Source organism: Homo sapiens, chromosome 12 (assembly GCF_000001405.40).
Source record: "Homo sapiens chromosome 12, GRCh38.p14 Primary Assembly".
Lineage (NCBI taxonomy): Eukaryota > Metazoa > Chordata > Mammalia > Primates > Hominidae > Homo > Homo sapiens.
The window spans coordinates 93739598-93752347 of record NC_000012.12 but is presented as its reverse complement, the minus strand read 5'-3'; the positions used below and the strand labels follow the sequence as shown (position 1 = coordinate 93752347).

At 39.6% G+C, this 12750-nt stretch overlaps 1 protein-coding gene across 6 annotated transcripts in view, besides 4 other annotated features; it reads right to left on the bottom strand.

The window, feature by feature from the left end:
* CRADD (CARD and death domain containing adaptor protein) overlaps nt 1-12750 on the bottom strand; it is a 217466-nt gene that overhangs the window by 142493 nt on the left and 62223 nt on the right. The gene's annotated exons all lie outside the window — the stretch shown is intronic.
* Nucleotides 9117-10073: an enhancer, noted in NCBI's record as "OCT4-NANOG-H3K27ac hESC enhancer chr12:94136051-94137007 (GRCh37/hg19 assembly coordinates)". NCBI's record gives its function as "activates a minimal SCP1, AML or CMV promoter by ChIP-STARR-seq in primed H9 embryonic stem cells {active_cell/tissue: H9 hESC(primed)}" and the evidence as "EXISTENCE:reporter gene assay evidence [ECO:0000049][PMID:30033119]".
* Nucleotides 9741-9830: a silencer, noted in NCBI's record as "silent region_4717". NCBI's record gives its function as "represses an Ori minimal core promoter by ATAC-STARR-seq in GM12878 lymphoblastoid cells {active_cell/tissue: GM12878}" and the evidence as "EXISTENCE:reporter gene assay evidence [ECO:0000049][PMID:35858748]".
* Nucleotides 9861-10030: a silencer, noted in NCBI's record as "silent region_4716". NCBI's record gives its function as "represses an Ori minimal core promoter by ATAC-STARR-seq in GM12878 lymphoblastoid cells {active_cell/tissue: GM12878}" and the evidence as "EXISTENCE:reporter gene assay evidence [ECO:0000049][PMID:35858748]".
* Nucleotides 10074-11030: an enhancer, noted in NCBI's record as "OCT4-NANOG-H3K27ac hESC enhancer chr12:94135094-94136050 (GRCh37/hg19 assembly coordinates)". NCBI's record gives its function as "activates a minimal SCP1, AML or CMV promoter by ChIP-STARR-seq in naive and primed H9 embryonic stem cells {active_cell/tissue: H9 hESC(naive and primed)}" and the evidence as "EXISTENCE:reporter gene assay evidence [ECO:0000049][PMID:30033119]".

The window sequence follows — 12750 nt, the reverse complement described above, 5'->3', positions numbered from 1 at the left end:
GACATTAGCATGGCAGACATCCTTAGCAGGCCTAAATAGAATGGCCTTATAAGTGGATCCAAAGGGCTTCTGAATCATGAGTTAGCCAGATGGTCAGCATCTCCAGTCCTTTATGCTAACATACTTTGGAAGGCTACCTGGAAACCGTCAGCAAAAGCCATGCTTTACCCTCCACTGGGGAATGAGGTCCCAGCGGGAATGAAGTCCCAGGAATGGGAATGGTCATAGCGCCCTTAGCAAGTAAAGACGCTTTAAAGGGCTCTCAAGCATACATGCCCCACCCTTGGCAAGTACAGATGCTTTCAAAGGTTCTCAAGTACACTGCAGGTAGTTACTTGCCGGCCCGACTACCTCCACCCTTAAGTAACTACAGTATGAAAAATGAGGCTGGCAGTTGAGAATAAAGCTCTGGAAAGCAGATTCAAATTCCAGAGCTATCCTGAAAGGAGCAAAGTAAAGATAAAGGATTTTTTGTTTGTGTTTTTGAAACAGAGTCTTGCTCTGTCTCCCAGGCTGGAATGCAGTGGCACGATCCTGGCTCACTACAGCGCCTTCTCCTGGGTTCAAGTGATTCCCTGGCCTCAGTCTCCCGAGTAGCTGGGACTACAGGCACACACCACCACCCTGGCTAATTTTTGTATTTTTAGTAGAGACGGGGTTTTGCCATGTTGGCCAGGCAGGTTTCGAACTTCTGACCTCAAGTGATCCGCCTGCCTCCGCCTTCCAAAGTGCTGGGATTACAGGCATGAGCCACCACGCCTGGCCCAAGATAAAGGATTTAGAGTCAAGTATTTAAAACCCTGATTGAGGTCAGTACTAGGATTTGTTTAAGCAGTGATTGGGAAGTTTTTACCAACAGGTACTATGTTTTGCTTCCTTAGTTTTTGTCTTTATGTGTCATCTGTTCAAAATACAGCATGTATTAATCTTCATTTTCTTAACAGTGTTTAATGAGGAATAATACATATTAATGTAGGTTTCAGTTAATAGTGATTGACTGAACCTCCTGTTTAGATCAAGAGGCTCTCAACAGGGCATCAGCTGGTGACAGACTGCCCTCACTGTAGGTAAACAAACACCATCCAGGGCTGAACTTCCTGACGTGATTGGAGAGATTTTTGTGATCTGTGCTTTGTAACTTCCTTTGCTATTGGTCTAGTAGTAATTCTTTATGGTAAACAACCAGAATCTACTTTTTTCTATAATTATGTTCATAATTTTTTTAAGCAAAAGAAGCAAGATTTGTATTTGTGGAATGTCTCTCAAGTTTACAGTTTTTATTTTTTCCACAATACAAGAAAGAGTATAGTAGACACAGGCAAGTTACCAGGTCAGTTCAGTGAGAGCATTCCCTGAGGCTGGCCTAAAATTAACTAAGATTGTTTCTATCGAACTTCTACAAAGACAGAGTCCCTCTGAGAACCTCTTAAAATTAAAGTTCAGGTTTTCTGTAAGTAAAATGTTTACCTCTCTATCATACTATAATTTCCCTTATTGTGACATCTGCGATGTGTCCATTTAAAAGTTACATGGTATGATATAATTAGGTAACTTGGATAATGACATGTACATTCATGTCTAAAGACTTTACTGAATATGAATGTCAAAATATAATTTTCAAAATGTTAAAAGTATAATCCACATGCAAATATATAGTGAGCATGGCAAAGACACATATACCTCATTAATGAAAACAGTAAATTGGCTAAGAAATTGATACATATAGTCGGTTTTAGAAAAAAAAATACTGGAATAAGATTCTAAATTACATACAAAATGTAGGTTTTTTTGTATGTAATTTAGAATTTTTTGTATGTATTTTTTGTTATTTTTTTATGTAGTATGTGAATATTCTATAGGACAATAAAACAAAACCTTTAGAGTTATCTTTTCTACCTGCCAGAAATTATTTGCATCATATCAGTTTTCTCTAAGTTAACATCTAAAATGAAGTCACATCCTCTACAGAATCAGATGAGCCTTAGGTCTTGTTAGACAACGCTCTACTACGACTCTGAAAGATCATTCTTTCATCTTATTACCAAGTTCCGGGTCATTTCTCCTAGTGTGAATAAAGCCCCGATTCAGTTGTCCATGATAACCACACTTCCCTCTCCCTTGAAGAACTCGCCTACTAAAAAGCCAGAATAGAGGCTGGATCTGAGGTTCTGGAGTCAGATTTATATGCCCGAAGTTCCTTTCTACATTGCACACTTCTACATTCTTCCTTTATTAGGCTTCTATTGCAAACATTGGCTTTAGGTTCTGAAGTAGCCCTGCTAAAACAGTAGTCTGCTTAAGGGCAGGAACATAATGTATTAGTCTGCATGTTCTTCACAAAAGCCCAGGAGATCTTGCCCCTAAAGGTTTATTCATTCATGTAACAAACATGTCCTGAGTACCTACTATGTACAAGGAGCTGTTTTAGGTTTGTTGTACTGAACCAAGTTCTATAAAGCAAATCAGCACAGACAAGAGAAAATGCCCCTAACGGACTTGAAATAAATGGACAAACACAAAAAGAGTCTATCACAAATCTGAAACAGGGAGGAAAAGAGAAAAGCTTAAAAGAGAAAGCATGCCAGTGCTGGCAGCAAATGATGGGCGTGTTGGGAGATAAATAGATAAAACCCATAATAGAAAGCAAAAAACAGATAACAGGAGAATTGCTCAATACTACAGACATGACTGCTCACATATTCTTTAATTAATGATGATAGTTAATTGGATTTGAAGAGAAAACCTAAAAAATAAAGAGGAAAAGTGACTTAAAATTATTTATAAGTGAGTTAAAAACAAGGGAAAGGCTGGAGTATCACTGAAGAAGCCCAGCACTCTGCCAGTTTTTAATATAGCATGACATCCACTAGAGAGGCAAAGTGGACTCTTCTGTGCAAACTATGTCCCTGTCCTAAAAACCTTCAGGGGCTTCTTGTTTGAATAAAATCCATTCTCCTGTCCAGGACTTATAAGGCTCAGCAAGGTCTGGCTCAATCCTGGATCCTCTCCCCTTTGCTCATGAAGCTCCAACAATATGACTTTCTGGCAGGTCCCAGAACACACCAAGCTCCTCCCCATCTTGGCCCTTTGAACTTGCTGGCCTCTCTAGCTAGGAGGCTACTGGCATGGCTAATTCTTGCTCATCCTTTAGGTGCCAGCTTCAGTGTCACTTCCTCTGACAGCCCTCACTCACCCATCCACCCTCATCTTGCTATTCTCCAACATAGTTCCCTCATTTGTTTCCATGACAGCAGGGATCTTGTCTAGGTCATTAACCATCATGTCCCCAGAATAGTGCCTGGCAGATGTTACGCACTTAATATTATTGAAAGGTTGCATGCAGTTAATATGAAGAGCTATAGTACCACCAGCCAGGGCCCATGTCAATCCTAGAATAGCTGTGCAATTTCTAGTGGCTTCTTGGAGGGCTTACTGCTACTCCTGCTAGGCCCTGGCCATGGGATAAGGCAAGGCACTATCAGCCCTCACATCTGTGAACAGCTCTGGGTAAGCCCCAAAGATACCTGTTTCCAATCAACTCCCAGAAGAGACTGCAGATTAGTCTTTCTTCCAGAAACCTCTAAGTCTTAGGATTTACCAAAGCCAAAAGCAGGTCCCGAAGGGGGACTGGATCCCTCAGTCAGACCAGATACAAACACCCACACTTTGGGGCTTTCATGCTTTTGCAGATCACTTCCCCAGTATGCCTTGCCATACTCAACGCTTAAGAATCTTGTTCCTGGCTGGGCGCAGTGGGTCATGCCTGTAATCCCAACACTTAGGGAGGCCGAGGCGGGAGGATCATCCGAGGTTGGGAGTTCGAGACCAGCCTGACCAACACAGAGAAACCCCGTCTCTACTAAAAATACAAAATTAGCCTGGTGTGGTGGTGCATGCCTGTAATCCCAGTTACTCAGGAGGCTGAAGCAGGGGGGAATCGCCTGAACCCAGGAGGCGGAGGTTGCCGTGAGCTGAGATTGCACCATTGCGCTCCAGCCTGGGCAACAAGAGTGAAACTCCATCTCAAATAAAATAAAACAAAACCAAAAAAAGAAGAAGCCTGTTTCCTCCCCTTCACAGCTGCACTGTGGCTCCCTGCTTCTCAGCCAGAGTTCAGGGAGACAAGGAAAGGATTTCTGGAAGGTGCGAGAGGGGACAACAAACAATGATGAAGGATATTACCATCTACTGAACTCGCATTCTGTGGTAGGGACTATCACCTAACACTGCACTGAATCTTCTCTACCATTCTGGGATGCCACTCAAAGATATATGCATAGCTCCAATTTATATAAACGTATACTTACCATATGATATATAATATTACATAAAGTATTTCATATATATATATATTTTTTTCTCCACTTTACAAGCTGAGCAAACCACTTAAGGTCCCACAGCCAGAGGGCAGAGCCAAGACTGAGACTGTGGTCTAACTACCTTTAAAAGCGGTGTTATTTCAGCACCCTCCAGTGTCTTTACAGGTAGTCTGAAGGAAAGAGTGGGAGAAGAGGGAAGTGTAAGGCCACCTGACACCACTGCCATGCTCCTTGCCCTAGCATTAAAAGGGAAGGAAAAATTAGGCCAGGAGTGGTGGCTCACGCCTGTAATCCTAGCACCTTGGAAGGCCAAGGCAGGCAGATCACGAGGTCAGGAGTTCGAGACCAGCCTGGCCAACATAGTGAAACCCTGTCTCTACTAAAAATACAAAAATTAGCCAGCACTGTGGCGCATGCCTGTAGGCCCAGCTACTTGGGAGGCTGAGGCAGGAGAATCACTTGAACCTGGGAGGCGGGGAGGTGGAGGTTGTGGTGAGCTGAGATCGCACCACTGCACTCCAGCCTGGGCAACAGAGCAAGACTACATCTGAAAAAAAAAAAAGAAGAAGAAAAATTAAGAGGAAGGAAAAAAAGAGAAAAAGTAGGGAAATGAATAAGGGAGAAGGAAAAGAATAATACTCACCCTTGCTTTCCCGTCTCCCTGTCTCATGCCCCTCCCCAGTTCCCAGCCCTAGGTCTCCCAATACTATCACCAGTACCTGCCTGACAAGAGCCCTCTCTCTCCTGGGTTACAGAGGAGGTCCTTTTCTGCTCTGACTCCAGCCTGATGGAAACACTCCATTTTTGCTACAGGGCCGCAATACAGCAATGACTTATTGGCTTCCTTAATAGGAATTCAATACGTTTTTCCATAAAATAACATTACATTGTGGTTAAAGTTTATAATACTAGTGCCTTTTTATTTTAAAAAAAGTGTAATAAAGATCCACTAATCTGAAACCCCAAAAGTGGTGAAAACCATTCTTTTTTTTTTATAATTCATTTGGCAGCAAAACCTGACCTGACCTGAACTCATTTGGCCTGAATTCATTTGGTGACAAACCTGACCTGAACTGACATGAGGCTATTTATAGTTTTTATTTATCCACTGCGTGTGAATATTCATCAGTTTCACTGCAGAAATATTAATGTGCTTGATTATAGGATCCTGCTCCAGACCACACTGCTATATGACTGGTACATGCACAATATTATCCTTCTTTCCTTCTTCAAAAAAAAAAAAAAATCCAAATTCAGCAAAATCTGGTCTCAATGGCTTTGAATACAGAATTGTAGAACTGTATTTATTCAGATTTAACCTCTTTGAACCTTGGGTTCATCGCAAGTCTGAAATTAGATTGTAGCCAACATCATTTTTGGAGGGAAATACATTCTTAATTTCAAACAAGCAACTTAAAAAGGAACTTTTGGAATACCACTAATTCCCGGGTTGGGGCCTAACTGTATAAAAGTATGCAATAAAGAAAAATTCTTCATGATAAAAGTTTTCATTCTGCAAAAAAAATTATCAGGTTCCACGTCCCATTCCCACATAATCTTCAGGGAAGTCCAACTTCCGGAAAGAATGGCCAATCTTCTTGGACCACTCTGTGTGCTGAGGAGCATATTGGAATATTAGAATGTGGACCGAGGAAAAGAGAGGTAATATTAGAAATCCTGTGAACTGCTTCCATTCTGTCATACTGTTCATTTATGTTTCTGCCAAAGTTGTGTTTTTATGATTTTTATTGCAACTCAGAGTTAACCTTTCTAGCAGAAAGAAAGCATCAAATGCCCCCACTTCAAACAAGATGGGTTCAAGGGAAAATCCCAATCTTCTTTAATCATTTTATGAATATGGTGAATCCTGTAGCTCATTAATTTTCTCTCTTTTTGTTTTGGCTGCTAGAAAATCCAGAGCCAAATTTACAGCCTAGCTCTAGCCCCATATAGAATTTTATATTACATGTTCTTTGCCCTAACCCTATTCATCCTAGCATGGTTATTTTTCTCCTAGCCTTATTTTCCCTTTACCTTAATTTCATCTATTCATTTTAGGTGGTGGTGGTAATAGTGTGTGTATGTGTGTAAGTTTCCTCAATATCTTTTTGTAATAAGGTGGAGAAGGGATAAATAGGCAAATAAGTAATTGTATACTTAATAATGTACTGGCATGGATCCATTGACTTCCAGCTGTAAAGACTTCAGTAATATCAGAACTCTAAATCATTCCACTTGGTTAATTACACAAATACTGAGCCATAATTAAAACCTTCTATACCAAAATGCCCACGACCATCATTCATTATATGAAAATAGTCACAAATTAGGAGAAACAACAGAAGTACCTTACCTACATTGCACGTTTCAGATATAGAGTCACCTGAGATATATGGCTAAGATTGGATTATCACATTTCCCGCAAGGGCTGAGGAGGTACTGGTTTCAAGTGTCAACATACCTGCTGCCTATGCCTCTACCTCACATCTCCAGACCACCAGTCACTTCCCCATAGCACAGCTTCCTAGTATGAGACTGTGAGATCCCCATTTCTCTCCCTGGGCCTCCTCCTTGCTAGAGTTACTGGAAGACATTGGAGTTACTAAAAGGAAGTGGGGAAGTCCAAAAGAGTATTCATAAAACTCCCCTAAAAGCCAAACATTTTCTGTTCCTTGCATCTGTTGATCATCCATTTATTTTTTTTCCAGTAATTTCAAAGCACTAGAATTTGCCCATATGTAATTCATACTTCTGAATAGTTGTCCAGTTAAAATTAATGAATGAGAAAAATTAGAATTTAAGTAGAAAACAGTAATCGAGATCCATAAACAGTAAATTTGGACGTATAAGCAAGTGTGCCCTCCCGTCACCACAAGCTTTAAGAATTATGCAGCTCTATAAGAAGTGAAGAGGGGGTTTACATGTGCCCAACTTGGAAGCTGCAAATTCAAGTACATTTTAGATATGAGTAAGTGGCAGCTAGGTCAGGGAACCCAGTTTCTTATTCAAAATTGGAATCTAATAGAATTATATTTGAATATACCAAAAACTTTCCATGGTTAAAATCAGAGTGCAGAGGAAAACCATTCTTTTTAAAATGCAATTATTATTTTTATTTTATATAGTGGTGGTACTAGAAACTGATCTATTGTGATACCAAAACAAAACAAGAAAATCAAGGAAGATTTTGCAAGGTAGAAAAACTTTGGGTTTTAAAAGCAACAACTACTTATGGTGAATGTTTATTGTTTTTATTAAACCTCTAGAATTATGTATAAGTAATATTTGATGTTACTTGGATTTATTTTAATTTTACCTTGCAAAATTTTCAAAATTAAGATGCTTAAAATCTCTTTTAAATGGCTGCTTATGAGGTTACCATCACAACAAAGTGGTACCCAGAGGGGTATGGTAAGCAGAATGTCAAAGATCTCTCCCGAGAAGTCCCATTACCCAGTTATTCAATCATGCACTTAACTAGGTACTGCTATGAAGGGACACTGCAAGTGTGATTAAGGTTACTAATAAGTTGACTAGCGAGATTAGCCTGGATTATCCAGTTGGGCCACTGTAATCACATGCCCTTTAAAAGTAGAAGAGAAACACATTAGGGGAAGGCAGGGAAATCTAAAGCAAATTCTGCACACTGTGGCTGCCTTTGAAGATGTAGATGGGCAACCTCTAGAAGACCCTTGGTAACAGCCAGCAGTTAGTGCTCTCCAAGAAAGGCAACTGGGCCCCCAGTACAACTACCACATGGAACTAAATTCTGCCAGTGAGCCTGGAAGTGGATTCTCCCCTGGAAGGCCTACAGGTACAAGTCCAGGCCTGCTGCTCCCTTTACTTCAGCCTTGTGAAGGCCCTGGGCACAGAAGCCAGGAGAGCCATCCTGTGCCAAGCTTCTGACCCACAGAAATGATGAGAAAATAAATGGATATGGTAAGCCACTACATTTGTGGTAATCTGTTATGCCCGTAATAGAAAACGAATACAAGGGGTAAAGCAAAAAAGAACCAAAAATGAGCACATAAGAGTCTGTTAAACTCATTTATCTTTATTTAGTGATTTCAGCTAAAGCACAATAAATTACATAGAAACTAAAAATAAAATAGAAAACAAAACTACCATAACAGAGAACAGGATATAAGTGTGAAATAATCAAAGGAATTTTTAAAATAAAAAAAAATGTTGCTAACATAACATTTTATTGCATAATTTCAAGCACTACCTTGAAATTGGAAATTTTGCCATTGTTTCTAAACAATTCAAAAGAAGATGCATAAAGCAAGGATCTGGAGCCCAATATGTGATCATAGTTGCCCTGAATATAAGAAGAGAACACTCATCACGGTCTTCAAGCATGCACCACCCTCACTAAAATATATGAGTAAGAATAATTTTAGGCTTTTATTATTGAAGGGACAGTAAGAATAATTACACAGGGAATTCAGCTTACTATAAGGAATAATGTTCTATTCGAGACCAGCCTGGGCAACATGGCGAAACCAAATCTTTACTAAAAAATACAAAACTTAACCAGACGGTGACGAGGGCCTGTGGTCCCAGGTGCTGGGGAGGCTGAAGTGGGAGGATCGCTTAAGCCTAGGAGGTGGTGGTTGCAGTGAACTGAGTTGGACCCACTGCACTCCGGCCTGGATGACAGAGCAAGACCCTGTCTCAAACAAACAAACAAAAAGAAATAGCATCCTAGTAATTACGGCTCTCCAGCAATGGTATAGACTGCTTCGAAAAGCAGAAATGTTATAAAAAGATCCCTAGAATCCCATAGAAAAATTGGCCTAAAAAACCTCTATATTGTAACTCCAAAATTCTGATTCCATTAACTTAGTAACACAGGGAATACTGGCATTATCGGAGTACTAGTTAAGTTACTATTACTCTATACGCCACATTAATTCATTAAATTTAATATTAGGTATGCAGGACAATTGTCATAGCAACATAAATTATTAGCATTACAAGTTCCTAAACAGAAATATGCATAATACTAAAACGAAACTATTTTAAAGGGCAGACATTTATTTTTAATTCTGCAGGATTTCTTTTCAAAAGTGAACTTTGGTGTAGCCTCTGGTCTGGGGCGGAAGATGAGAATGGGAGGGCAGCCTGACCCCCCTCCTGATAAGGAAGGACCCAGCGCATAACCTGTTCAGGATCTGGAGCCGCACAAACACCTGACTCGCCCCTTCAAAACAAGATCCGCGGAATGGCTCGGGACACAACAAGAAATTGCCGGCAACCTGTGACGGCTCATTTTTACCGACAGTGGGAGGCGGGCAGTCGGAAGGAATGCCCATTTCTCCGGTGTTCCTTCCCAGAAGCAAAAGAACGTGTTTGTTTATGCAAGATTTACGTTTCACTCAGGTTTGGGTTGGGTTTGTTTCCTGGAGATGGAGCTGAGTTTCCCTGGTTTTGCTGGAGTGAGGACAAGCTGATCGCTCCGTATTTACCTTTCACTTGAGCCAAATTGGACAAATGCAAATAAACAGGTCTTGCAGGCGCCCCCCGGCAGTCGGCGCCGCCTCCCCGCGCTGGGCTGGGCAGCCGGGGCCCGCAGAGGCAGCCGGCGCCCTAGGGCGGCTGGGGCCGCGCGCCTCCCTGCCCCGCTGCGCGGCCCGCGGGTGCCCGGCCAAGCGCTGGCTTATCTGCAGCTCCCACAGCGCCCCCGCACTCACCAGTTCCTAGAGCAGGGATTCCGAGAAAAAAGAAAGAGCCGGGTTCCCTAGAAACATTAAATTAACACAAGGGATCTGGAAACAAAACAGCAGATGCCTCAAAGCCTTCTCCTTGACGGCTTCCTGCCTTCTTGGAAAATCTTTGCATTAAAATAGATTGAATTACCCTGCTCTGCCAGATGCTGCTCGGGAACTTCATTTTGGGCTAACATGAAAGGAGAGTTTGACATCTTTTAAAGGATTTTTCTTTTCGAGGTGGTTTGAGGGGCGCCTTTGGGTTGCTGACATTAGCAAGGACCCAAGGCTGAGCTTTTTGCATTACAGTCGAGAACTTTCCATAACAATGGCTAGCAAATCAGATAACAAAGATCATGGCGTGTAGAGGAGACGCGGTGGAGCATAGAATGAGCACTAAGGGTTCAGAAGCCGAGGTTGCTGTCTCTGGGAAGAGCCTAGAAAGAGCACAGGCCAGCCGCCTCCTTTTACAGGGGAGAAAATGTCTTTTATTTCTAAGCCTACTTATTTTGACCATAGCTATGAGAACTATCTAATGGCATTTCCAGAGAGTCACAAACAAGCAGAAAGGCTTGTGAGTAGTATTTTATCAGCCTCTTTGTTCTAAAGCCCATCGTCTAACCTCCACCGACCCCTATCTACAAATTAATCAGACCATATAATTTGTAAATTCAAACCCAGATTAATAACCACACACCTTGAACAGTGGGTCTTCAGCACAGAGTGTATTCCACTTTCCTGTCATGTTAACTTTCATATTTAAAGAATTTTGGTAGCTGAGAACAAGATCCAAAGCTTCCTATGAGGTATCAGGATTTTACAGAGTAAATTGTTTTTACTGGAGTAGGATCTTCTTTGACATTTTAACTTTTTTTCATGATAACCTTTAGGAAAGGACGCTATAATCCTTAGTCGCTAATTTATATGTGTCATGCTTTCTAGTAAACTGGAAAATAACCTACATTCTTAAAAGGATTCTATGCTTATCCCAAATTTAGGAGCACAAGATGGGGGAGAAGTATATTACAACAAGATACTCTAAACACAAATAAAATTAAATATCCTTGCCTAAGCATGAAAGCAATAAAACTCATCTTAAAGCAATGCAGTCAGACAAAATCATTGCATCTGTAATAAGGGTAAGTACACAACTCCGGGAGTTAGCAGCCCTAAATATTTCTGTTCTAATGACACACAAGAGATACACAAAATCTATCATTCCTCCCTGATGTACGAAAAAATAAAGGGCAATTTCATAACACCTTTGGTGCTTTCTAACTTAATAGCTGGCCTTCAGGAAAAGCAAGTATAATTTTTGAGTGTTTATAAGAAAGCAAAGGAAAATGTTGCAAAAAATTACTTGGCTCAAAGGCCACAGAGAAAGCCGGAATCTGCAGGACTCACCAAGCTACACAGCTGTTTTAAAACCGAAAGTCAAACAGCTTTTAAAAGGTATTAAGTATTTTCTACAACAAAATCATCAAATATACATACTTCTTTTTATCCTGCAAATAGACATTTTATTTCTATTAGAAAAAAACTATAGTTACACAAACAATAACTAGACTGCTGTAATAAATATAACTAGCCACATAATACTAGTCAACGCTGGCTTTTTAAAAGATTACCAGAGAATTTCAAAATGATTCTGAATGATCAAGTGTGACTCGTATATTTTTTAGGTAGGCATTGATGTTAAGAATATGGCTTTCACAGAAATAGAATCCAATTTATCTTATTTCCATATATTAATCATGGCAACAAATAAAAATGATGACAAAAATCACTAAGATAGTTTCTTTAAATTTTTTTAAATTAAAAACCAAAACCTTAGGTAAATCTGACAATCCTCCCCCAAAATTGGTTTTCGAAAAAAAGTCTTCAGGTCATAGAAAAAATGTAGATGGCTTATAACCCTTAGAATTCCTTTTAGTTAATGAGAATCTCATTTTTGGAATTTCTTCAAACTTAACTGAAATGTTAATGAAAAAGAGAAATATTTAGATGTTGAGAAAAAAAGTTGTTCTAATTATTCTGCTTCACTATCTCATTTCAGCTCATCAAAGTTAAATAGCTAATAAACAACTGGTCTGTTTTGGCAGATTTTTTTTCTATTTTAAAATTCATTACTAAACAGATGAGGTTACTGCTAGTTAAAATTCTGAATCCAAATGCCATACATGCTGTTGTAAAAACTGTGCAGTTTTAAATATATTTTTACTTCTATATATTTTTGAATCTTTAGCCAAACTCCTCCAATAAAGTTTTAGTTTATGATGTTTTCTAAAATAAAAACATTTGTATTTTATGCTATAAAAATCAATAAATGTCTTCTAAAGTTAGGTGCTCCAAAATAAATGATTCAAAAGTTTTAATGAAAGCCCTCTTATAATTAAAGAAGGTGATTGGTAATGAGGAGGAAAATGGGAGGCATATTTACAATAAATCAAAAGCAGAATTGTGATTAATGGGCTCCACAATGATTATTAATGTTCTCCCTATAAAATATTGATGTTTGCATTAATTTAAAAGTACAGACTGGGTTTTTTGCTTTGTTAAATGAAAAATAATTTTTTTCCTATTTTAAAATGAGAATGACTATTTTAAAAACAGAAGACTATGTCCAAGATCTTTCCCTTTCCCCATTTCAAAATTATGAGTTTTCTTTTTGTCTTTCTGAATTCTTGAAATCCAGTGACATTGTCATAGCTCTGAGAACC